Source organism: Homo sapiens, chromosome X, assembly GCF_000001405.40.
Source record: "Homo sapiens chromosome X, GRCh38.p14 Primary Assembly".
In the NCBI taxonomy this organism is placed as follows: domain Eukaryota; kingdom Metazoa; phylum Chordata; class Mammalia; order Primates; family Hominidae; genus Homo; species Homo sapiens.
The window spans coordinates 92,599,819-92,624,615 of NC_000023.11; the positions used below are offsets into that span (position 1 = coordinate 92,599,819).

Sequence of the window (24,797 nt, forward strand, 5' to 3'; positions counted from 1 at the left end):
TGGTGTTGACCAAAAAGTTCAGGCTGAGGTGGTCCCAGAAGGAGATGAGGAAGTTATTGAGAACTGGAGCAAAGGTGATTATTGCTATGCTTTAGCAAACAGATTGGTAGCATTTTTCCCCTGCCCTAGATATCTGTGGAACTTTGAACATGAGAGAGATGATTTAGGGTATCTGGCAGAATAAATTTCTAAGCAGTAAAGCATTCAAGAGGTAACTTGGGTGCTCTTAAATGCATTCAGTTTTATTCATTCACAAAGAAATGGTTTGAAGTTGGAACTTATGTTTAAAATGGGAGCAGAGCATAAAAGTTTGGAAAATTTGCAGCCTGATGATGTAATAGAAAAGAAAAACCCATTTTCTGAGGAAAAATTCAAAGCTGGCTGGGGAAAATTTCATAAGTATTGAGAAGCCAAATATTAATCACCAAAACAGTAGGAAAAATTTCTCCAGGACATGTCAGAGGTCCTCATGGCAGCACCTACAGTCACAAGCTGGGGGTGTCTAGGAGGAAAAAATTGTTTTGTGGGCCAGATCCAGGGTTTTGCTGCTTTGTGCAGTCTTGGGACCTGGTGCCCTGCATTACAGCCATGGCTAAAGGGGGCCAATGTACACCTCAAGCCATTGTTTCAGAGGGTTCAAGCCCCATACATTGGTGTCTTACATGTGGTATTGGGCCTGTGGGTGCACAGAAGTCAAGAACTGGGAATCTCCACCTAAATTTTGGAGGATGTATGGAAATTCCTGGGTGTCCAGGCAGAGTTGTGCTGCAGGGGCAGAATCCTCACGGAGAACCTCTGCTAGGGCAGTGCAGAAGGGAAATGTGAGGTGGGAGTCCCCACACAGAATCCCCACTGAGGCACTGCCTAGTGGAGTGATGAGAAAAGAGCCACCATCCTCCAGACCCCAGAATGGTAGATCCAATCACAGCTTGCACCATGCACCTGAAAAAGCCACAGACACTCAATGCCAGCCTGTGAAAGCAGCCAGGAGTGAGGCTGTACTCTGCAAAGCCACAGGGGCAGAGCTGCCCAAGACCACGAGAACCCACCTCTTGCATCAGTGTGACGTGGATGTGAAACATGCAGTCAAAGGTGATCATTTTGGAGCTTTAATATTTGACCACCTCACTGGATTTCACATTTTCATGAGGCCTGTAGTCTCTTCGTTTTGGCCAATTTCTCCCATTTGGAATGGGCATATTTACCCAATGCCTGTACCTCCATTGTATCTAGGAAGTAACTAACTTGCTTTTGATTTTACAGGCTCATAGGTGGAAGGGAGTTGCCTTGTCTCAGATGAGACTTTGGACCGTGAACTTTTGAGTTATTGCTGAATCAAGACTTTGGGGAACTGTTGGGAAGGAATGATTTGTTTTGAAATGTGAGGACATGAGATTTGGGAGTTGCCAGGGGCAGAATGGTGTGGTTTGCCTGTGTCCCCACTCAAATTTCATCTTGAATTGAAGCTCCCATAATCTCCACGTGTTGTGGGAGGGAACCAGTGAGGGGTAATTGAATCATCAGGGTGGGTTTTTCCCATGCTATTCTTGTGATAGTGAATAAGTCTCAAGAGATGAAAGAAAGAAAGAAAGAACAATGATGTGAAATAATTAAAACGCTAATACATTGCTGATGGGAATGTAAAATGGCGTAGCTACTAAGGAAAATGGTATGGTGATTCATAAAAAAAAAAAAAAATTAAACATAAAATTACCATATGACCCAACCATTCTACTCTGGGTATATACTCAAAAGTAGTTGAAATAGAGATTCAAACAGGTATCAGTACCCATATTCATAGCCGCATTATTCACAGCAGCCAAAAGTTGGAAGCAACCTAAGAGATTATCCTAAGAGCAAACAGCAAATGGAGAAGCACTTATTCTAGAAAATCTACTAATATTCTGCAAGAATAGTGAGAGCCTGTGGCATTTGAATCATAATCCATATCTCGCCACACAATTTAGTGTGACAAAAGCTTCATCCCTTCCAGGGTCATTCAAAAATGCAGAACTCCTTTTCCCTCCAACTCCAAGTCTAGGGTTAAGGTATCTTCCACTGAGGCACAGGCTTCCAGGATTTCTAACTTCTAACAGGTCTGTGTTGCAGAAGCTCTATTATAGGCAACAGTGGTTAAGAACATTGTGCCTAGTTGCCCATACTCCAATTCACTTATAGGGTAGAAATCCCATGCTGGGTTAGGCATGTTAAGAAGACCAGAGGATACTTCACCTGTCTGCTAAAAAGCAGGAGTATGCATCTAAAAGAAGCAGGCTACTGTCCTCATTTTTATCGTGAGAGCAGTGGCACACATATATTGCCCAGGGGATGATAAATACAGAGAGCTCCAAAGCTATCCTCAAGAGAAGGGACTCATTTGGAGCAAAGTATGGGGGAAGTTCAAGCTAAGGGAGTTGTCAAAAACAGTGGAGATTTTGCTGGTAAGGCAATAAGAAGAAGCCGATAGCTCCATGAGAGCAAAAAAATAAAAATTACATTAAAATTTAAAAGACTGTAGATTAGCTGTAGGTTTAGCAGAGACAATCAGGAAAAAGTGCAGAGAAAAAGCCCGCTTGGGTCAGAACCAACATCCAAATGTTGCCTTAAAGACTACCCCTGCAAAGGGGCTCAAATTTGATTGTATCAGACTGCTGAGCAATTTATGCCTTAGGACATTGCCGAAAACAATCAAGCAATCAGCCAGTAATGAGTGGAGCCTAACTGGCTGAGAACGGATACCAAATGAAGCAAGTAGTTTAGCTGAAAAATCAGGGAAAGAGACTGTCAAATAAACCTTAGCTAAAATTACTGACATCTCAGTGTATGTCCATATTTAAGGCCGTACCCTCTGATGCATGACATCAGAGGTAACACATTCAATGGGATATAGACTTCGCCAAATATTCTAGCCAAGTAACAAAACAAGCAAATAAACAACAACAAAATCAAGTCCCAGAGAGGGTAGTGGTATCAGTATTCACAATTGATGCAATATATAATCTAAAATGTCTAGTTTTTGATAAAATTATGAGGTATTCTGTGACAAAATTATGAGTTACACTGTGAGCTCTACATGAAAAAAGCAAGCAACAAAAACTAACTGTGAGAGGGCTCTGTTGTCAGATTTAACAGATAATAACTACAAAGAAGCCATTATAATCATATTCAAAGATTTAAAAGAAACTCTGCTTAAATAAGTAAAGGAAGGTAAAATGCCAATATTTTATCAAATACAGAGTATCAATAATGAAATAAAAAGCACAAAAATACCAAATGGAAACTCTGGAGTTGAAAAGTACAGTTATCAATATGTAAAATTGACTAGAGTGATTCAACAGTGCATTTGAACCAATAGAAGAATGAATCAGAACACTCGAATTTAGGTTGATAGATATTATGCAATCTAAAGAAAAAGAGAGAAAAAAGAACAAAGAAAAAGGCATATATTCAGATCTTATTTTTTATTCTATCTGACAATGTTTGCCTTGTTTTTTGTTGTTTAATCTATTTACTTCATTGAAGTAAAAAAGAAATAAAGAACAATTATGAGGAAAGTGGGTATCAGAAAGAAAGAAGAAAAAGGAGTGGAAATAATACTAGAAGAAATAATGTTATTAAATTTCTCAATTTGATAAAAGTCATATATACACAATAAATTTAATGAAGTCTGATAAACACAGAGATCCACACGGACACATTTCAGTAAAAATACTGAAAGATAAAGAAAATAAGAAAATTTTGGAGGGAAAAAAAAAGACTTTCAGTGGATACCAGAAGGCAAGAAGGCAGTGAAATAACAAAGAGTCGTAAGAAAAAAAAAAGGTAAGAAATAATTTTTTATCCAGCAAAATATTGGTCAGAAATGAAAGTGAAATACAAACCTTCCTAGATAAACAAATATTGAGACAATTTATTGCTAGCATATCCATGTTACATAAAATACTAAAGGAAATTCTTCCGACTGAAAGTCAGAGAGTCAAGATAGTAATTTGAAACCACATTAAAAAACACAATATTGGCAGTAAAAGCAATTATGTAGGTAAATGTAAAAGACAGTATAATTTTGTTTTTTCTTTTTTCTCCTCTTAATGAATTTGAAAAACCCTTGTATAAGACAAGACAAGACATATGCATCTATATATAAACAATTGTATAAGATATATACATATATAATTATATATACACAATTATATATAATTTTGTTCAGTCTATAACATATAGAAATTCATATACAATAATAATACATAATTACAACATTAGCACAAAGATAGGTAGAAGCAAAGTATTGGAGTAAGGAAATGATACCAGATTATAACTAGAATTCACAGGAAAAGAAATAAAAGAACAAAATTGTAAAATAGGAAGGTTAATAAAATATAATTTATAATTATGTACTACTCCCCTTTTATCAGCTTCATTAAAAATACATAAATTAATAATTATGGCAATGTAGTTATTGAATTTTTTACATATATATGTTACAGAAAAGTAAATAGTAAATATAGGTATATAGGAGTAATATCTCTATGTCCCATGGAATTAACTTACATTAAGTCAAAAACAACTATGATAAATTAAGATTCAAGCACTAGACACTAAGAGAATAACACTCATACACACATACACACACATATACATACCCGCACATGTATAGTGAAAAATATCATAAAAAGCATTAAAATATTACACTAGAATGTATTCACCTAATGCAAAAGAAAGCTGCAAGGAGAAACGGGGAAACCGTGAAACACATAGAAAATAAAAAGAAAAATGGCGGATATCAGTTCATGATATTAATAACAAAGTAAATGGATTAAACAACATAAAACAAGGCCAACAGTGTCAGAATACAAAATAAGATCTGAATATATGCCTACAGTATGCACAACCCAGATTCAATGCATTGAATGTAAAATTACGGAAAATCATTATACTATGTAAGTAAGAATCATGAGAAAGCTGAAGTGACTACACTAATATCCGGCAATAAAAGACTTTAAAATATGTTACCAGAAATAAAGAGGAACATTTTATCATGAAAAAATGGTCAAACTATCAGAAAAACATAATAACTACAAACATACATGCACCTAACTCCAGTGCCACCAAATTCATGGAGCAAATTTGACAGAATTGAAGAGAGAAATAGACACTTCAGTAATAGTTAGATATTTCTATATTTGTTTTTCAATAATGGAACAACTAGGCAGTAGATCAATAAAAAGAAGACTCAAACAGCACTCTAGCCCAACTAGAACTAGCAGACATGTATCTGACTACAAGAGCAGAATACATATACTATGAAACTGCACAGGCATGATTTTCCAGGATAGACTATATGGTAGGCTATAAAAGAAGCCTCAATAATTTGAAAAGATTGAACTCATCCAGAATATGTCTTTTGATCAAAACAAAAGAACATTAGAAATGAATAACAAAAGAAATTTGGAAAATTAACAAATATTTAGAAATTAAACAAGATCTTCCTAAGTAATAAATTGGTTAAAGAAGAAACAACAAGAGAAATTCCAAAACATTTAATGGTGAAATACTCAATGCTTTTCCCACAAGATCAGAAGCAAGACATAGGATGTCCATACTTACCACTTCTATTAAACATTAAACATTGTACTGGAGGTTTTACCACAAGTAACTAGGCAAAAAAAATAAATAAATAAAAGATACTAAAACATCCAGATTGCAAAGAAAGAAGTAGAATTATCTCTATTTGAAGATGATATGAGTTTCTTATACAGAAAATCTTACGAAATCTATTAAAAACTTGTTAAAACTAATACTTCAGCAGTGCTTCAAGGTATAAGAGCAATATATTAAAAATTGAGTGTATTTCTATATTCTAGCGTTAAACATTTCTTAAAAAAATTAAGAGAATCTCATTTACAGTAGAATAAAATGAAATAAAATGCTTAGAAATAAATTTAACAAAAGTCCTTCTTATCTTCTAAAAATTCTAAACTATTGGTGAAAGAAATTAACAATCTAAATAAGTGAAAAGACATCCCATGTCCTTAATTTGTAAGACAATATTATAAGATGCAATCCTTCACAAATTGATCTTCAGATTCGACACAATTCAACTTGAATTTTGCAGAAATAAGACGCTAATCTGGAGCTGGGTGCAGTGGCTGACGCCTGTAATCCCAGCACTTTGGGAGACCGAGGCGGGCGGATCACCTGAGGTTGGGAGTTCGAGACCACCCTGACCAACATGGAGAAACCTCGTCTCTACTAAAAATACAAAATTAGCTGGGTGTAGTGGCACATGCCTGTAATGCCAGCTGCTTGGGAGGCTGAGGCAGGAGAATTGATTGAACCCAGGAGGCAGAGGTTGCAGTGAGCCGGAGATCGTGCCATTGCACTCCAGCCTGGGCAACAAGAGGGAAATTCCGTCTCAAAAAAAAAAAAAAAAAAAAAAAAAGACGCTAATGCTAAAACCACGGGAATTTAAGAGAACTAGATTAGCCAAAATAATTGTGAAAAATAAGAACAAAGTTGGATAACTAAGCCTTTTCCATTTTAAAACGTTCCTCAAACCAATAGCAATCAATGGACAATTGATTTTCAGCCAATTAAAGTCAATAAATAATAAATAGTCTTTCCACAAGTGGCATTGGGATTGCTGGATATCCACATGCAAAAGGATAATTTTTAGATACCTTCCTTACAAAATGCATAGAAATAACCACTCCAAATGGATCATTGACCTTAATATGAGAACAGAAGCTATAAAACTATTAGAAATCACAGGAGCAAACCTTTATGACTTTGCATTAAGCAAAGTTTTCTTAGATCTGACACTAAAAGTACAAGCAACAACAAAAAAATACATTATACCTCATCAACTTCAAAACTTTTGTACGTCAAAGGATATCATCGAGAAAGTGAAAAGACAAACCACAGAATGTGAGAAAATATTTGTAAATTGTATATCTTATAAGAGTCTTATATTTAGACCATAAAAAGAACTTGTAAAATCCAACAATAGTAATGCAAAAGATATAATTTTTAAATGGGTAAAAAATACAAATAGACATATTTTTCCAAAGAATATAAACAAATTACTAGTAAGTATATCAAAAAATATTTAACTTCATTAGCAGTTAGGGATATGCAAATCTAAATCACAATGAGATAGCACTTCTTACTCCTAAGATTGCTGTAATAAAAAAGACAAATAATAACGAATGTTGGTAAGTGCGTAAAGAAATGGGAACATTCATGCATTTCTGATGTTTATGTAAAATAGTGCACCCAATTTGGAAAACAATTTGGCAGTTCCTCAAATGGTAAACAGAGTTGGTGTAAGACCCAGCACACAAACTTTTACATAAATGTTAATAAAAGCATTGTTCATGATAGCCAAAAGATAAAAACAACCCAAATGTCCATGATCCGATGAATGGATAAATAAGAAGTAGCATATCCTTATAAAAGATAATCTTGGGTAATAAAAAAAGAACTGAAGTACTGATACATACTACAACATGAATGAAATTCGAAAGCATTATGCTAAATACAACAGACCACTTACCCAACTGTCCGAATAAAGGATTGCATTTCTATTATATGTACAGTATAGGCAAATCTATTGAGACAGAAAGTAGATTAGAGATTGCTTAGGGCTCTGGAGTTTGACGGGAAATGGGCAGTGGCTGCTAATAGTTTCTTTTTGAAGTGATAAAGATGTCCCAGAATTGAGATGGTTGCACAATGCTGTGAATATACTAAAAACCACTGAATTTCTCATGTTAAATGGGTGAATTTGAAGATATAAACTACATCTCACGAAAATTGTTAAAAAGGACTAATTATAAATTATATCATTTTCCAGTGAAAATGACTTTGCATCAATTTCCTCATCACAAATAGGCTAGAAGCTCGATATTGAAACTATGATGTATTATTTTTTGTGAAATTTCAGGCTGCCGGATAAATTGCTTTTCTGATGACCAGGAAATTAAATTTTGTTTGAAAGTAAAGTTATATGTGTGTTCACGTATTTTCATGCCTGCAATTATGGTTTAATATTATCTGAAATATATAAAACTATATTCCCAACTATTTCTCAAATATAATTGTGCAAAAAATATAGAACATTTTAAACGTTAATCTCCTAGGGACACGTTTATTTTCAGTGAGCTCTAAATAAAGAAAGATAAATGGTTATCTAATGGGGAGCTATTAGTCTTACTATAACTTATTTTACATCCTATTCTTTGGTACTAAGCATGATAGGGTAATGACAGTCACTGGACTCTATAACAAATTGAATCTCTATTTTTAGTTTTTAAAATTATGTACAAAAACTTGAATTGCCATTATCACTCAGCAAGCACACATGTTCAGAGAGAAGAAAAAGAGAATTTTTTTTTTTCTTTTCTGGAGACCTAAGTGTGAAAACAAATTATACTAATCATTTATAAAGTTATTTGAAATTAACTAGTGGTTGCAACCCAAAGTTAAGAAAATAGTGAAGATTATATGGACAGTTTCTTTCTCTAAAAATAACCAAATTCTTCCTTCCTGTTCTGCTCTTCTCTTAATACCATGCACCTGAACAAAAATCATTATGTCATTTTTCTAGCTTTGTGAAGGTAGAAAATGTATGAGGCTAAGTGTCTTAGAAAACCTTTGTATTATCGTTTGTCCTATGGTTTCTGTAAATAAATGATATTCTTATCTTTTTAAATATTTCCACACATAATTTTCAAAATTATGTTTTGAATTTGATAACTTTGTATTAAAAATATTTCAAGCAGTGAGTCCACAAAGAAGCATGTATTATTTGGATGCAATACTATTTAATTTGATTAGGATATTTTTCTGGAAAAAATAATTCTGAATTGAATAAAGGAGGCAAAAGATAATTTATAAAAAGTATAATTTCTCAACAGTTGACATCACTCATTGCTGTTTTTTATATTTACGTACAATAAAATTCACTCATGTTCTATAGTTCTACCAGTTTTGACAAATGCATACAATCATGTATCTATCACCATTTTCATATAGAGAACACTTTCATTACTCCCAAAATTTCTTTGTGCTGCTCTGCTAGTCAACATTACCTGAATTCCCAGCTCCTGGCGATCACCGGTATGTTTTTCATCCCTATAAGCTTGCCATTTCCAGAATGTTATATAATAGGAACCATACACGATGTAGACTGTTGATTATGGCTTCTTTCATTTAACAAAATTCATTTGAGACTCATCCATGTTGCTCTAAGAATCAATATGCTTCTTTTTATTGCTGAGTAGTATTTCAGTGTATGGCTATGACACAGTTCATTCTTTTACCAGCTGAAAGACAGTAAGGGTCATTTCTACCTTTTGGTGATTATTAATAATGCTGTTTAACTTGCACATAAAAATTTCTACGATAACATACGTTTTCAAATATTTTGCATAAATATGCAGGACTGGAATTGCTGGGTTTTTTTTCTGTTTTTGTTTTTCAAGTGTATGTTTAGCTTTATAGGAAGTTGACAAACTGTTATCTAAATTCCCTGTGCCATTCTGTGTCAGCAGCAGCATCAATTGAAGATTCTAGATGTTTGGAATACTTACCAGCACTTGGTATTTTTAGTTTGTTCTTTTAATCACTCAAATAGAATGGTATCTCTTTGCATTTTAAATTTGCATTTCTTTAATGTCTGACTGTGCTGAGCCTCTAATTATATGCTTATCTGACATATTCATGTCTTCCTTGATAGTCTATACAGATATTAGCCAGTTTTTTAATTGAGTTCTTCATTTTCTTATTGTTATTTTTTAGTTTTTTAAATTTCAACTATTATTTTTGATTCAGGGGGTACATGTGCAGATTTGTTACCTGGGTATATTGGGTGACGCTGAGGTTTGGGGTATGAATAATCTCATCATATTCATAGTTGTTCAACCCTTTCTCCCCTCTCTCCCTTCTAATACTCTTCAGTGTCTATTGTTGCTGTCTTTATTTCCATGAGTACCCAATGTTTAGCTTCCACTTATAAGGGAGAACATGCGATATTTGGCTTTCTGTTGCTGTGTTAATTTGCTTAGGATAATGGCCTCCAGCTGCACCCATGTTGCTGCAAATAACATAGTTTGTTCTTTTAAAGACTGCGTATATCCTATGGTATATGCGTGCTATATATAAGAAATCCAATCCACCACTGATGGTCACCTAGGTTGACTCCATGTCTTTGCTATTGTGAACAGTGCTGTGTCAACATGCAAGTGCATGTGTCTTTTTGGTAGAACAATTTGTTTTCTTTTGGAGATAATACTCAGTAATGAGAGTTTCTGGGTTGAATGGTAATTCTGTTTTTTGTTCTTTGAGAAATCTTCAAAATGCTCTCCACAAAGGCTGAATTAATTTACATTCCCACCAACAGTGTATAAAAATTCTCTTTTCTCCCCAACTTTGTCAGCGTCTGTTGTTTTTTGGCTTTTTAATAATAGCTATTCTGACTGGTGTGAGATAGATTCTCATTGTGGTTTTGATTTGCATTTATCTGGTGAAGAATGATGAGGAATTTTTTTTATATGTTTGTTGGCCCCTTGTATGTCTTCTTTTGAGAAGTGTCTGTTTATATTTTTTGCCCACTTTTGAATGGAGGCTTTTGTTTTTTGCTTGTTGTTTGTTTATGTTCTCTACAGTCTAGATAGTAGACCTTTGCTGAATGTATACTTTGGGAACATTTTCTCCCATTCTATAGGTTGTCTGTTCACCTGGTTGATAGCTTATTTTGCTTTGCAGAAGCTCTTTAGTTTAATTAGGTCCCATTTGTCAATTTTTGTTTTTGTTGCAATTGCTTTTAAGGATTTAGTCATAAATTCTTTGCCAAGGCTAATGTCCAGAATGGTGTTTCGTATGGTTCCTTCTAGAATTCTTACAGTTATTGGTCTCACATTTAAATCTTTAATTCATCTTAGGTTAATTTTTGTATATGGTGATAGGTAGGGGTCCAGTTTCATTCTTCTACATGTGGCTAGTCAACTGTCCCAGCACAATTTATTGAATAGAAAGTCTTTTCCCCACTGCTTAATTTTGTCAACTTTGTCAAATATTAGATGGCTGTAGGTGTGCAACTTTATTTCTGGGTTCTCTATTTCTGTTCCATTGGTCTATGTGTTTGCTTTTGCATCAGTCCTGTGCTCTTTTTATTACTGTAGCCTTATAGTACAGTCTGAAGTCAGATAATGTGATGCCTCCAGCTTTGTTCTTTTTGCTTAGGATTATTTTGGCTATTTGGCTTATTTTGTGGTTCCATATAAATTTTAGAACAGTTTTTTTTTTTTCAAATTCTGGAAAAACGACTTTGGTAGTTTGATAGGAAGAGTGTTGAATCTGTATTTTGCTTTGGATAGTATGGCCATTTTTATATTTATTCTTCTAATCCATGAGCATAGGATGCTTTTTCATTTGTTTGTGTCATCTATGATTTCTTTTAGCAGTGTTTTGTAGTTCTTCTTGTACAAACAAACCTCTTGCTGCCTTGGTTAGATTTATTCCTAGCTTTTTTTTTTTGGCTATTGCAAATAAAATTCTATTCTTGATTCAGCACTCAGCTTTAATATATAGAAATTCTACTGATTTTTGCACATTGATTTTGTATGCTGAAACTTTGCTAAATCTTTTGTGTTCCAGGAGCCTTTCAATGTTCTTTAGGGTTTTCTACATATTGAATCCTACTGGCCATGAATAGACATAGGTTATCATCTTCTTTTCCTGATTAGATCCCTTTAGTTCTTTATCTTTCCTGATTTCTCTGTCTAGCACTTCCAGTACTGTGTTGAATAGGAGTACTGAAGATGGGCATCCTTGTCTTATTCTAGCTTTCAAAAGAATGCTTCTAGTTTTTGCCTGTTTAGTATGATGTTGGCTGTGGGTTTGTCATAGATGACTCATTACTTTAAGGTGTGTTCCTTCAGTGACTAATATATGAAAGTTTTTATCATGAAGAGATGCTGGATTTTATCAAAAGCTATTTCTGTGTCTACTGAGATGATCACTTTTTTTTTAAATTTACTTCTGTTTATGCGGTGAATCACATTTATTGATTTGCATATGCTGTACCAATCTTGCATCCCAAGAATGAAACCTACTTGATCACAGTCTTCACGGTCAATTAATTTTTTGAAGTGCTGTTGGATTCAGTTTCCTAGTATATTTTTTTTGACAATTTTTGTGTCTTTGTTAATCAGAGATATTGGCCTATAATTTTCATTTTTTGTTGTGTCTTTGCCAGGTTTTGGTATCAGGATGATGCTGGCCTCATAGAAGGAGTTAGAGAGGAGTCCCTACTACTAGAATTTTTTTTTAAATAGTTTCAGTAGCATTGGTAACATCTCTTTTTTGTATGTCTGGTACAATTTGGCTCTGAATCCATCTGGTCTGGGTTTTGTTTTTGGTTTGTTTGGTAGTTTTTAAAATTACTGATACAATCTCAAAACTCAGCATTGATCTGTTCACGGTTTCAATCCCTTCCTGATTCAATCTTGGGCGATTGTGTGCTTCCAGCAATTTCTCAATTTCCTCTAAATTTTCTATTTTGTGTGCACAGAGGTGTTTATATTTTCTGAGGATCTTTTGAATTCCTGTGGGATCAGTTGCAATGCCACCTTTGTCTATTGTGACTGTGCTTCTTTGGATCATCTCCTGTTAATCTAGCTAGTAGCCTGTCAATCTTATTTATTTTTTCAATAGTTTGTATGATTTCAATTTTTTTAATTTATTGAGACTATGCTTTATATATTCTGTATATACATGTATATTGGGTAGAGTATTCTGTGCATGTTTATTAGGTCCAACTGGTTAAGTGTCAAATTCAAGTCCAGAATTTCTTTGTTAGTTTTCTGTCTTGATGATCTGTCTAATGCTGTCAGTGGGATGTTGATATCCCCCAGTATTATTGTGTGGCTTTCTAAGTCTTTTTGTAGACCAAGAAAAACTTGTTTTATAAGAAGAAAACACTCCAATACTGGGTGCATATGTATGTGTATAGTTAAGTCTTCTTGTTGAATTGAACACTTAACCATTATGTAATACCCTTTTTTTTGTTGTTATTGCTTTAAACTCTGTTTTATCTGATATAAGAATAGCAACCCCTGTTCTTGTGTTCTGTTTCCACTGTAGATCTTTCTCTAGATCTTTACTTTGAGTCTATGGATGTTTATGCATGTGTGTTGGGTCTGTTGAAGACAGCAGACTGATAGGGCTTTTTTATGCAGCTTGTTACTCCATATCTTTTAAATTGGACCTTCAGGCCATTTAAATTCAAGGTTAATATTGATATCTGAGGTTTTAATCCTATCATGAAGTTGTTAGCTGTTTGCTTTGTGTTTCCTATTTTGTGGTTGCTTTATAGGGTCTTTGGGCTATGTATTTAAGTTTGTTTTCCTGCTAGCTGCTATGATTTCTATGTTTAGAACTTCCTCAATAATCTCTTATAAGGCTGGCCTGATGGTAACAAAGTTTTTCAGGGCTTGCTTGTCTGTAAAATCGTTTGTTTCTCCTTTGCCTATGGAACATAGTTTGGTGGGATATAAAATTCCTGGTTGGAATTTCTTGTTTTTAAGAATATTAAAAATTGGCCTCCAATTTCTGTTAGCTTGTAAGGTTTCTGCTGAGAAGTTCACTGTTAGCCTGATGGAGTTCGTTTGTATGTGATCTGACGTTTTTCTCTAGTTGCCTTTAAGTTTTTTTGTTGTTGTTGTTGTTGTGTGTGTGTGTGTGTGTGTGTGTGTGTGTGTGTGTGTTAACCCTGGACAGTCTTGTGACCATATGCTTTGGTGATACTCATTTTGTATTATATCTCTCAGATGTTCTCTGGATTTTTTGAATCTGGATATCTGTCTCTCTAGCAAGATCAGAGAACTTTTATTGAATTATTACCTCAAATATTGTTTTCCAAGTTACCTACATTGTCCACTTCTTCCTCAGGGATGCCAGTAATTTGTAGGTTTCTTCGCTTTACATCATCTAATATTCCTCAAAAACATTGCTTATTTCTTAAAATTCTTTTCTTCTTTATTTTTATCTGGCTATGTTATTTCAAAATACTGGTCTTTAAGCTCTGAAATTATTTCTTCTGCTTGGTACAGTCTATTGTTAAAGCTTTCAATTGTATTTTTTAAATTCCTTAAGTTAGTTTTTCAAATCCAGAAGTTCTGATTGCTTTCTTTCAAGATGTTTATCTCTTTCTTTATTTCCTGGATTGCTTTAGAAGTTATTTGTGTTCATTTTCAGCTTGTCTTGGATCTCACTGAGCTTCCTTGAAATCCATGCTTTGAATTCTTTATGTGATTTCTGCATTTACATTTTGGTTAAGGACCATTGGTGGAGGGGTACTGCAATTCTATGGTGATGTCACTGCATTCATATTTTTCATAGTGCTAGAATTCTTGCACTGGTTTCTTCTCATCTGAGAATGTTGGCACTTCTCATTTTTGTAATTTTGTGTTAGGATATTTTCTTTTGTTTTTTATTTCAGTATAACATTATTATTTTTTTTTTCTTTCCCTTTCCCTTTCCTCTCCTCCCTACAGGGTGTGACTGTAGTGAATGCTGGGTATGGTCACTTGTCTTTGCTTCTGTAACCCTATGTAGTTTCGTTGACAGGTTTTATATTGATGTGTGTAGTTCAACCTACAAGCCAGTAGATGGTACTTATGGGTGAGAGCTGGCTGTACCTGATGTGGCTAGGTATATACATGATCCTTGTTTACTGGGAGAAGCTCTCTCTCATCTTAGGCAATGGGCTGATCTGTGGAGTGCACAGTTGTCTGAGCTCCTTGCTCTGTCCTATGTTAGGACAGGTCCAAGATTAGCATGGCCTGCCTAAATGTCCCCTGATGTCAGGCACAAACACCAGCACTTAGCAAGGATCCAGTGGACAGCCACTAAACACCCAAAGGTGTGTCTAGGCATGGAGCTGGGAAACCTCCTCAGCCCCAAGTTCTCTGGACAGGGATTAGGGGAGGCCTAAATTCCTAATCCAGGTCGGAGAGCGAGTGCTCCACATGCCTAGAGATATGCCTGGGTGTGGAGCAGAGAGAGATGCCTGTTTGTGAAGCAGAGAGAACCACCCTTCACCAAGATCTCTGCATAGTAGGGGTGAGGCAGCTCCAGGTTGCTGAACCAGGTGAGTGGGTGATCTGAATGTCTGAAGATCTGCCTGGGCATAAAATGTAGAGGGCTTGACTGCACCATGATCCATGGCCAACAAGGGCGGGGTTGCTCAGGCTACTAGTCCATGTGAGCAAGTACTCCAAATTCCTGGAGATCTGTCTGCATGTGTTGTGATGAAAGCCCCACTGCACCACCATCTATGCACAGAAATAGGGGCAGGTAAAGCTGTTGATCCAGGTGAGGAAGTGCTTCAAACACCTGGAGATCTGTTTGGGTATTGAGTGCGAAGTGCCTGCTATACCACAATTTATGTCCATGAAAAGTGGGGCAACTCAGATTGCTGATTCAAGCAAGTGGGCGCTCCAGATGCTTGGATTTCTGCATGGAGGTGGAACGGAGAGGGCCCTGCTATACCACAATCTCAAGGGGAGCATGCTGGGGCACCCATTAATGGCATACGCAAGTCAGTTTCAGGTTGCCAGCTGGCCTTGAATGAAAGTCTCATCATCCAGGAGAAAACACAGCTATAGCAGCTCTTCTCCTGCCCCAGGGCTTCAACAGGGGAGTGTAAAATTCTGGTACCTACTGCTGTGGTGCTTTCTACAGTTCTGGCTATGGAAGCCCCTACCCTGCTCCAGAGCAGGTGTTCCAATCTCTGGCCTGAGATTAAAATACCTGCATGGCCATACTGCTAGGTCTCAAAGGAATGGCTGATTTTGTATGTGCCTGGATTAAAAATGGCATCCTGCTGTCAGTCCTTGGCCTGGGCAAATTTCTGTAGTTTTTCCTGGTGTTTTCCCCTCAGGTCTCCAAGCCTCTCCCCAGGTTAGCACCAGGACTTTAAAGAAACAAAATATTCTCCCTCCTCTTGGGTTGCTCAGATCCCCAGTAGAAAGGTGAGTCACAGAGGGAGGCTCTCTGTCTCTCTCATGTACTGGGGCTTCACTTACTTTTATCAACTGGATGCCATCACATGGACTGCTTTCCCATGTCCTCCCCGCTGGGGCCCCCTTCACAATACTGGTGGATTCTCATTTTTCTTCTTGAATTAAAGCTCACAAAGTTGATCTTTATGCACTATCTTGCTATTTCCAAGTCACTGAGGCATGATAAAAGGATTTAATCAGTCATCTTGGAAAAAAAATCTATTGTTAGTTTACATCCTTTTTTAAATATATAACTCCCTTGTCAGAAATGTGATTTGCAAATATTTTTACCCAGTCTGTAGCTTGCCTTTTCATTCATTCACATTGCCTTTTGCAAAGTAAATATTTTTAATTACAAATAAGCTCAACTTAGCATATTTTTAAAAATAAATTGTGCTTTTGATGTTGTAGTTAAGAATGCTGCCTAACTGATAGTCACAAAGATTTTCTCCAATATTTTCTAATAGAAGTTGTATAGTTTTACATTTTACATTTAGACTTTTGATTGATTCCAGGTTAATTATTTTATAAGATTAAAGATGTGGGTCAAGTTTTAATTTTCTGCTTATAACCTATAATCATTCTGTTGGCACTTGTTGAAAAGTCTATACTTTCACCATTGAATTCAGACCTTTGTTGAAAATCACTGTAGAATTTTGTGGATCTATTTCTGGACTGATTATTCTATTTTTATTAATCATTTTGTATTTATGATTTTGATAATATTACATTGTAATGATTAGGTACGTGCTATAGTAAATCTTGAAATCAGATCATGTGAGTCCACAAATAGGTTTTTTTTAATCAAAATTGGTTGGCTAATCTAATTCCTTTACCTTTCCCCATAAATTATAGCATCAGCTTGTTGATATCTGCAAAAACAGAAGATCCATCTAAGATTTCCTTTTTATTTAGATTATGTTGACTTTACGGATCAATTGTGGGACCACTGACATCATAACAATATTGAGTATTCCAAGCTAAGAACATGGTGTATCTCTCCATTTAATTAGATTTTCTTTATTTTTTTCATCTTTTTTTTTAAATTTTAAGCACACAGATTCCACACACATTTTGTTACATGTATACCTAAATGTGTCTGTGAATAGATACAGTGTTGTTTATTTTCAATCTGTATGTCTTTCATTTCTTTTTCTTGCTTTATTTCATTGTCTAGAACTTACAATATTATGTCACATAGGAGTGGTGTCAACCTTACTGTTTCTGATTTTTGGGGAAAAGTATTCAATACTTAACCTTTGAATATCGTGTCAGCTGTTATCTTTTTGTAGGACCTGCATGTCAATTTGAAGATATTCCCCTGTTTCTAATTTGCTAAAATTGAATAGTTCTACTAATATAAATTTTGATCTAGTTGGTTGATTATATTGCTCAAGTCTTCTATGCATTTACTGATTTTCTATTTTTTCCATCAAGTTCTAAGGAGTATTGTAGTCTCCAAGTATGACTGTGGATATGTCTATTTATCCTTTCATTTCTAGCTTATTTTGCTTATATTTTGAAGCTCTGTTGTAAGGTGCATACACACAGGATTGATACGTCTTCGTAGAGAATTGATCTTTTTATTGTCATATAATGTATTTCTTTATACTGGATAGCATTTCTTGCTCTCAAGTAAACTTTATATAGATATAGTAACTCCATCTCTATTTCACTAAAATTTGTATAATATTTTTATTGATGTTTGATATCTATTGACATTTGAAGACTATAGAGAAATTTCATAAAAAGAGTATTATAAACTATTATAGTTTACAGCTAAATACTTGGATCTCTAGTTTATTATGTTGCTAACTTGTATTTTAAGATGATTCCAGCAAATAAAGGATACCGAAATCACTTATTTTTGAAATAATTATGACTATATTTTATTCTTGAAACTAAGGCATATCTTAGAGTTCAATAAACTATACTTCCAAATTTATGTAATTTATTATTAGCTAACTATTTTTTAGCTATAATTAGTTCATTATATATTCTTATAATTTGTTTTCCAATTAATTTTGCTTTTATGTCCTCTCTCAGTGCTAGTTAGAAGCCATATTTCAGCTGACTTGCATGTATAGATGAATGATCATAGTTTCCTTGAGGGTCACAGATACAATAAAAAATACCTACATTTGGGATACTAGGCCAAAGGATGCCAATTATGATAATGAGACCTCATCCACCCACTCCAAGTCATTTATACTTCCCTAAGAATTACTGACAAATTAAAAATACCAACTCTATAAATAATGGAAGTCTTTAATGCATTTGTATATAGGTTGTTACCTTTTTTGTCACAATGATATTTAAGTGGCTAATAAAAATATGCCTTTGAAATATAAATTTTATTATTTTTTTCCTCACCCCAACAGCTGCAGAAATAACTGTTCAACCAACTGTGGAAGAGGCCTCTGACAACTGCACTCAAGAATGTCTCATCTATGGCCATTCTGATGCCTGCTGGATGCCGGCATCTCTGGATCATTCCAGCTCTTCGCAAGCACAGGCCTCTGCTCTATGCCACAGCCCACCACTGTCACAGGCCTCTACTCAGCACCACAGCCCACGAGTGACACAGACCATTGCTCTCTGCCACAGCCCTCCAGTGACACAGACCATCGCATTGTGCCACAGCCCACCACCGATACAGGTGTCTGCTCTCCACCACAGTCCTCCTCTAGTGCAGGCTACTGCACTTCACCACAGCCCACCATCAGCACAGGCCTCAGCCCTCTGCTACAGCCCTCCTTTAGCACAGGCTGCTGCAATCAGCCACAGCTCTCCTCTGCCACAGGTTATTGCCCTCCATCGTAGTCAGGCCCAATCATCAGTCAGTTTGCAGCAAGGTTGGGTGCAAGGTGCTGATGGGCTATGCTCTGTTGATCAGGGAGTGCAAGGTAGTGCAACATCTCAGTTTTACACCATGTCTGAAAGACTTCATCCCAGTGATGATTCAATTAAAGTCATTCCTTTGACAACCTTCACTCCACGCCAACAGGCCAGACCGTCCAGAGGTGATTCCCCCATTATGGAAGAACATCCCTTGTAAAGCTAAAATAGTTACTTCAAATTTTCAGAAAAGATGTATATAGTCAAAATTTAAGATACAATTCCAATGAGTATTCTGATTATCAGATTTGTAAATAACTATGTAAATAGAAACAGATACCAGAATAAATCTACAGCTAGACCCTTAGTCAATAGTTAACCAAAAAATTGCAATTTGTTTAATTCAGAATGTGTATTTAAAAAGAAAAGGAATTTAACAATTTGCATCCCCTTGTACAGTAAGGCTTATCATGACAGAGCGCACTATTTCTGATGTACAGTATTTTTTGTTGTTTTTATCATCATGTGCAATATTACTGATTTGTTTCCATGCTGATTGTGTGGAACCAGTATGTAGCAAATGGAAAGCCTAGAAATATCTTATTTTCTAAGTTTACCTTTAGTTTACCTAAACTTTTGTTCAGATAACGTTAAAAGGTATACGTACTCTAGCCTTTTTTTGGGCTTTCTTTTTGATTTTTGTTTGTTGTTTTCAGTTTTTTTGTTGTTGTTAGTGAGTCTCCCTTCAAAATACGCAGTAGGTAGTGTAAATACTGCTTGTTTGTGTCTCTCTGCTGTCATGTTTTCTACCTTATTCCAATACTATATTGTTGATAAAATTTGTATATACATTTTCAATAAAGAATATGTATAAACTGTACAGATCTAGATCTACAACCTATTTCTCTACTCTTTAGTAGAGTTCGAGACACAGAAGTGCAATAACTGCCCTAATTAAGCAACTATTTGTTAAAAAGGGCCTCTTTTTACTTTAATAGTTTAGTGTAAAGTACATCAGAAATAAAGCTGTATCTGCCATTTTAAGCCTGTAGTCCATTATTACTTGGGTCTTTACTTCTGGGAATTTGTATGTAACAGCCTAGAAAATTAAAAGGAGGTGGATGCATCCAAAGCACGAGTCACTTAAAATATCGACGGTAAACTACTATTTTGTAGAGAAACTCAGGAAGATTTAAATGTTGATTTGACAGCTCAATAGGCTGTTACCAAAGGGTGTTCAGTAAAAATAACAAATACATGTAACTGTAGATAAAACCATATACTAAATCTATAAGACTAAGGGATTTTTGTTATTCTAGCTCAACTTACTGAAGAAAACCACTAATAACAACAAGAATATCAGGAAGGAACTTTTCAAGAAATGTAATTATAAATCTACATCAAACAGAATTTTAAGGAAAAATGCAGAGGGAGAAATAAGGCACATGACTGCTTCTTGCAGTCAACAAGAAATACCAATAACACACACAGAACAAAAACCATCAAAATCTCATATATGAAATAAAATATATTCTTCTAAGCAAAGAAACAGTACTATTCATAGAAAACATTAGTTTTCTTCTGTTGTCTGTTATTTCCTTCTTGTATCCTCTTAACTGGCCATTATCTTGTATGTGCACATTTTATAAATGTACAGAAACATCACCAACTTAATTTTCTTCCATAGCAAAACTGAGAAAATACCTTGTTTCAGTATAACACTAAACCAAGAGACAATTGATGTTTAATGGGGGCGGTTGGGGTGGGGGGGGGAGTCAATATCTCCTATTGATTAACTTAGACATAGATTTTGTAATGTATAACTTGATATTTAATTTATGATTAAACTGTGTGTAAATTTTGTAACATAAACTGTGGTAATTGCATAATTTCATTGGTGAGGATTTCCACTGAATATTGAGAAAGTTTCTTTTCATGTGCCCAGCAGGTTAAGTAGCGTTTTCAGAATATACATTATTCCCATCCATTGTAAAGTTCCTTAAGTCATATTTGACTGGGCGTGCAGAATAACTTCTTAACTTTTAACTATCAGAGTTTGATTAATAAAATTAATTAATGTTTTTTCTCCTTCGTGTTGTTAATGTTCCAAGGGATTTGGAGCATACTGGTTTTCCAGGTGCATGTGAATCCCGAAGGACTGATGATATTTGAATGTTTATTAAATTATTATCATACAAATGTGTTGATATTGTGGCTATTGTTGATGTTGAAAATTTTAAACTTGGGGAAGATTAAGAAAAGAACCAATAGTGACAAAAATCAGTGCTTCCAGTAGATTTTAGAACATTCTTTGCCTCAAAAAACCTGCAAAGATGATGTGAGATTTTTTCTTGTGTTTTAATTATTTTCACATTTTCTCTCTGCAAAACTTTAGTTTTCTGATGATCTACACACACACACACACACACACGTGCACACACACACACATTTAAATGATATAAAAAGAAGAGGTTGAAAGATTATTAAATAACTTATCAGGCATCTCAATGGTTACTATCTATGTTAGTGAAAATCAAATAGGACTCAAAGTTGGATATTTGGGATTTTTCTTCTGACAGTATAATTTATTGAGTTACTAGGGAGGTTCTTAAATCCTCATATCTGGAAACTTGTGACGTTTTGACACCTTTCCTATAGATGATATAGGAATGAACCAATACGCTTTTATTACCCTTTCTAACTCTGATTTTATAATCAGACTTAGATTGTGTTTAGAATATTAAATGACTGGGCACCCTCTTCTTGGTTTTTACCAGAGAGGCTTTGAATGGAAGCAGGCTGAGAGTAGCCAAAGAGGCAAGGGGTATTAGCCCAGTTATTCTCCCCTATGCCTTCCTTCTCTTTCTAAGCGTCCACTAGGTCTGGCCTTGGAAACCTGTTACTTCTAGGGCTTCAGATCTGATGATATCTTTTTCATCACATTACAAGTTATTTCTCTGACTGAATAGACAGTGGTATAGGTTGACACAGCACACAAGTGGCTATTGTGATGTATGATGTATGTAGTCCTACAACTGCAAAACGTCTTACTGAACCAACAATCAAAAAATGGTTCTGTTTTAAAAAGGATTTTGTTTGATTTGAAATTAAAACTTCAAGCTGAATGACTTATATGAGAATAATACGTTCAATCAAAGTAGTTATTCTATTTTGTGTCCATATTCCATTAGATTGTGATTATTAATTTTCTAGCTATGGTATTACTATATCACACTTGTGAGTATGTATTCAAATACTAAGTATCTTATATGCTACGTGCATACACATTCTTTTCTTAAACTTTACCTGTGTTTTAACTAATATTGTGTCAGTGTATTAAAAATTAGCTTTTACATATGATATCTACAATGTAATAAATTTAGAGAGTAATTTTGTGTATTCTTATTTACTTAACATTTTACTTTTAATTATGTAAATTTGGTTAGAAAATAATAATAAATGGTTAGTGCTATTGTGTAATGGTAGCAGTTACAAAGAGCCTCTGCCTTCCCAAACTAATATTTATCACACATGGTCATTAAATGGGAAAAAAATAGACTAAACAAATCACAAATTGTTCAGTTCTTAAAATGTAATTATGTCACACACACAAAAAATCCTTTTCAATCCTGAGAAAATTAAAGGCGTTTTACTCACATGGCTATTTCAACATTAGTTTTTTTTGTTTGTTTCTTTTTCATGGTATTACTGAAGGTGTGTATACTCCCTAATACACATTTATGAAAATCTACTTGTTTAGGCTTTTATTTATACTCTTCTGATTTATATTTTTTATTATAATTATTATTTCTTATCTTTCTTCTTTTATATTTTTTGGAAACCAAATTTATAGTTAGTTTAGGTAAACTTTTTATTATGACCATTAGAAACTATTTTGAATGCTTCCAACTGGCTCAATTGGCCGGGAAAACATGGGAGCAAGAGAAGCTGAAATATATTTCTGCAAGAACCTTTCTATATTATGTGCCAATTACCACACCAGATCAATTTTATGCAGAGGCCTTAAAATATTCTTTCACAGTAGCTTTCTTACACTAACCGTCATGTGCTTTTAGTAAATATGATTTTTAAAAGCAGTTCAAGTTGACAACAGCAGAAACAGTAACAAAAAAATCTGCTCAGAAAAATGTATGTGCACAAATAAAAAAAATTAATGGCAATTGTTTAGTGATTGTAAGTGATACTTTTTAAAGAGTAAACTGTGTGAAATTTATACTATCCCTGCTTAAAATATTAAGATTTTTATGAAATATGTATTTATGTTTGTATTGTGGGAAGATTCCTCCTCTGTGATATCATACAGCATCTGAAAGTGAACAGTATCCCAAAGCAGTTCCAACCATGCTTTGGAAGTAAGAAGGTTGACTATTGTATGGCCAAGGATGGCAGTATGTAATCCAGAAGCAAACTTGTATTAATTGTTCTATTTCAGGTTCTGTATTGCATGTTTTCTTATTAATATATATTAATAAAAGTTATGAGAAATAAACATTCATTGTTATTGTGTGTGTTAATTCAAAACTCAAATGATTCACTTTATTTTAAATAGATTTTCAAATGTATATAGAAAATACCCTTTTTCAATGGTACATTTTGGATTTAGCATATTTTTGTTCACTCTGAAAACTCCTTCAATATAATTTCTGACTTGAACATAATTTCAATCACTTTTCAAAATTGCTGAACACTATTGTAGTGTTTCTGAACATTTATTTTGCATCGTTCAAGACAAGATTTAAGTGATATTTACTTATTCCAGATTAGATCTATTGCTTCACTTAATGTAAAAGTTACCTAAGGATTTCTCTGTACAACCATAGGAGATCCAGGTGAAATAAGTTTCTGGAGATGGTTGATAATATTTGTGGAACAAAATAACTTTACTCCTGGCTTTGTTTTCACTTTGGCTAAATGGAGAGAATTCATTGAAACCTCTCAAACTACAAGGTATCACTAAATATGTAACTGCATTTAGAATTTTATTAGCCCCAAATTTTGATTAAGAATTACATACTGCACAGTCCAGTGCTTTTTGTATTATTTTTTCTCACTCATATATTTATTATTGTGATATTAATTTATTCATTTTCACCAAGGGTTAGCTGGTGAAGAAAGAAAAACAGGAAAATTTAAATCAAGCAACATTTTAACCTCTGGCAAAAAGGAGATTGGGGTTTTAGAAGAAGTACAATATATGTGTAGGTTAATTTGTGTTATTTCTCATCTTCACTCCAGCCATTTGGGAAAAAAAAAATCTCACAAGTTGTTGTGACTTAATTTGTGAAGCTGACTGAGAATCACCAAGTTATATATAGATATTATCATAATAACCTTGGCAAGAACTCTAGAACCTGAGAAAGTGAATATGGTGAAAACATACTCTGAATAGGAGAAAAATACCCTACTGAAAAGGAGTATTACAAATTTCTTTTTTTTCAACAAGTGGAAAAATATGTGAGCTAATATTTGGCTTGATTAAAGACATTAAAGTTATTGGTCTTATTGTCAGAAATGGCCAAACTGACTATAAAATGTTGATGGACTAATGGCAATTGCTTCAAAACAAAAAATAAAAACAAGGACAATACCGATGCAGGCAATTCAGTTCAGAATTTTATTTCTGTATATTGGGTAACAAATTTAATATCCATTTCGAGTATCTGAGAATCAACACATGCATGAAAACAACCGAAGTTTAATTTGTGCACTAGCTTAACTCCTTTCTTATCTGTTAAAGTATTCTAAAGTTAATTGGGGTAAAACAGAAGCAAGATATATAGATGAAGAAAATGAAAAAATGAAAGTTTAATTTGTCAGCAATTTAGTTCTGAAATCTGGTCATATGATGTTTTCTTCGTAAGCTTTTTTGAACAG

General features: G+C 34.4%; 1 protein-coding gene across 13 annotated transcripts in view; it reads left to right on the forward strand.

The window, feature by feature from the left end:
* PCDH11X (protocadherin 11 X-linked) overlaps window positions 1-23,412 on the forward strand; it is an 843,856-nt gene extending 820,444 nt beyond the window's left edge. For 11 of the 13 annotated variants that reach the window (XM_011530911.3, NM_032968.5, XM_011530910.1 and 8 more), the window contains one exon: window positions 18,446-23,412. In XM_011530911.3, coding sequence (XP_011529213.1) covers window positions 18,446-19,122 — 677 coding nt within the window. In that variant the 3' untranslated portion in view covers window positions 19,123-23,412. The remainder of the gene's footprint in view (window positions 1-18,445) is intronic. The other 2 variants (XM_017029416.2, XM_017029419.2) reach the window with 1 other exon arrangement.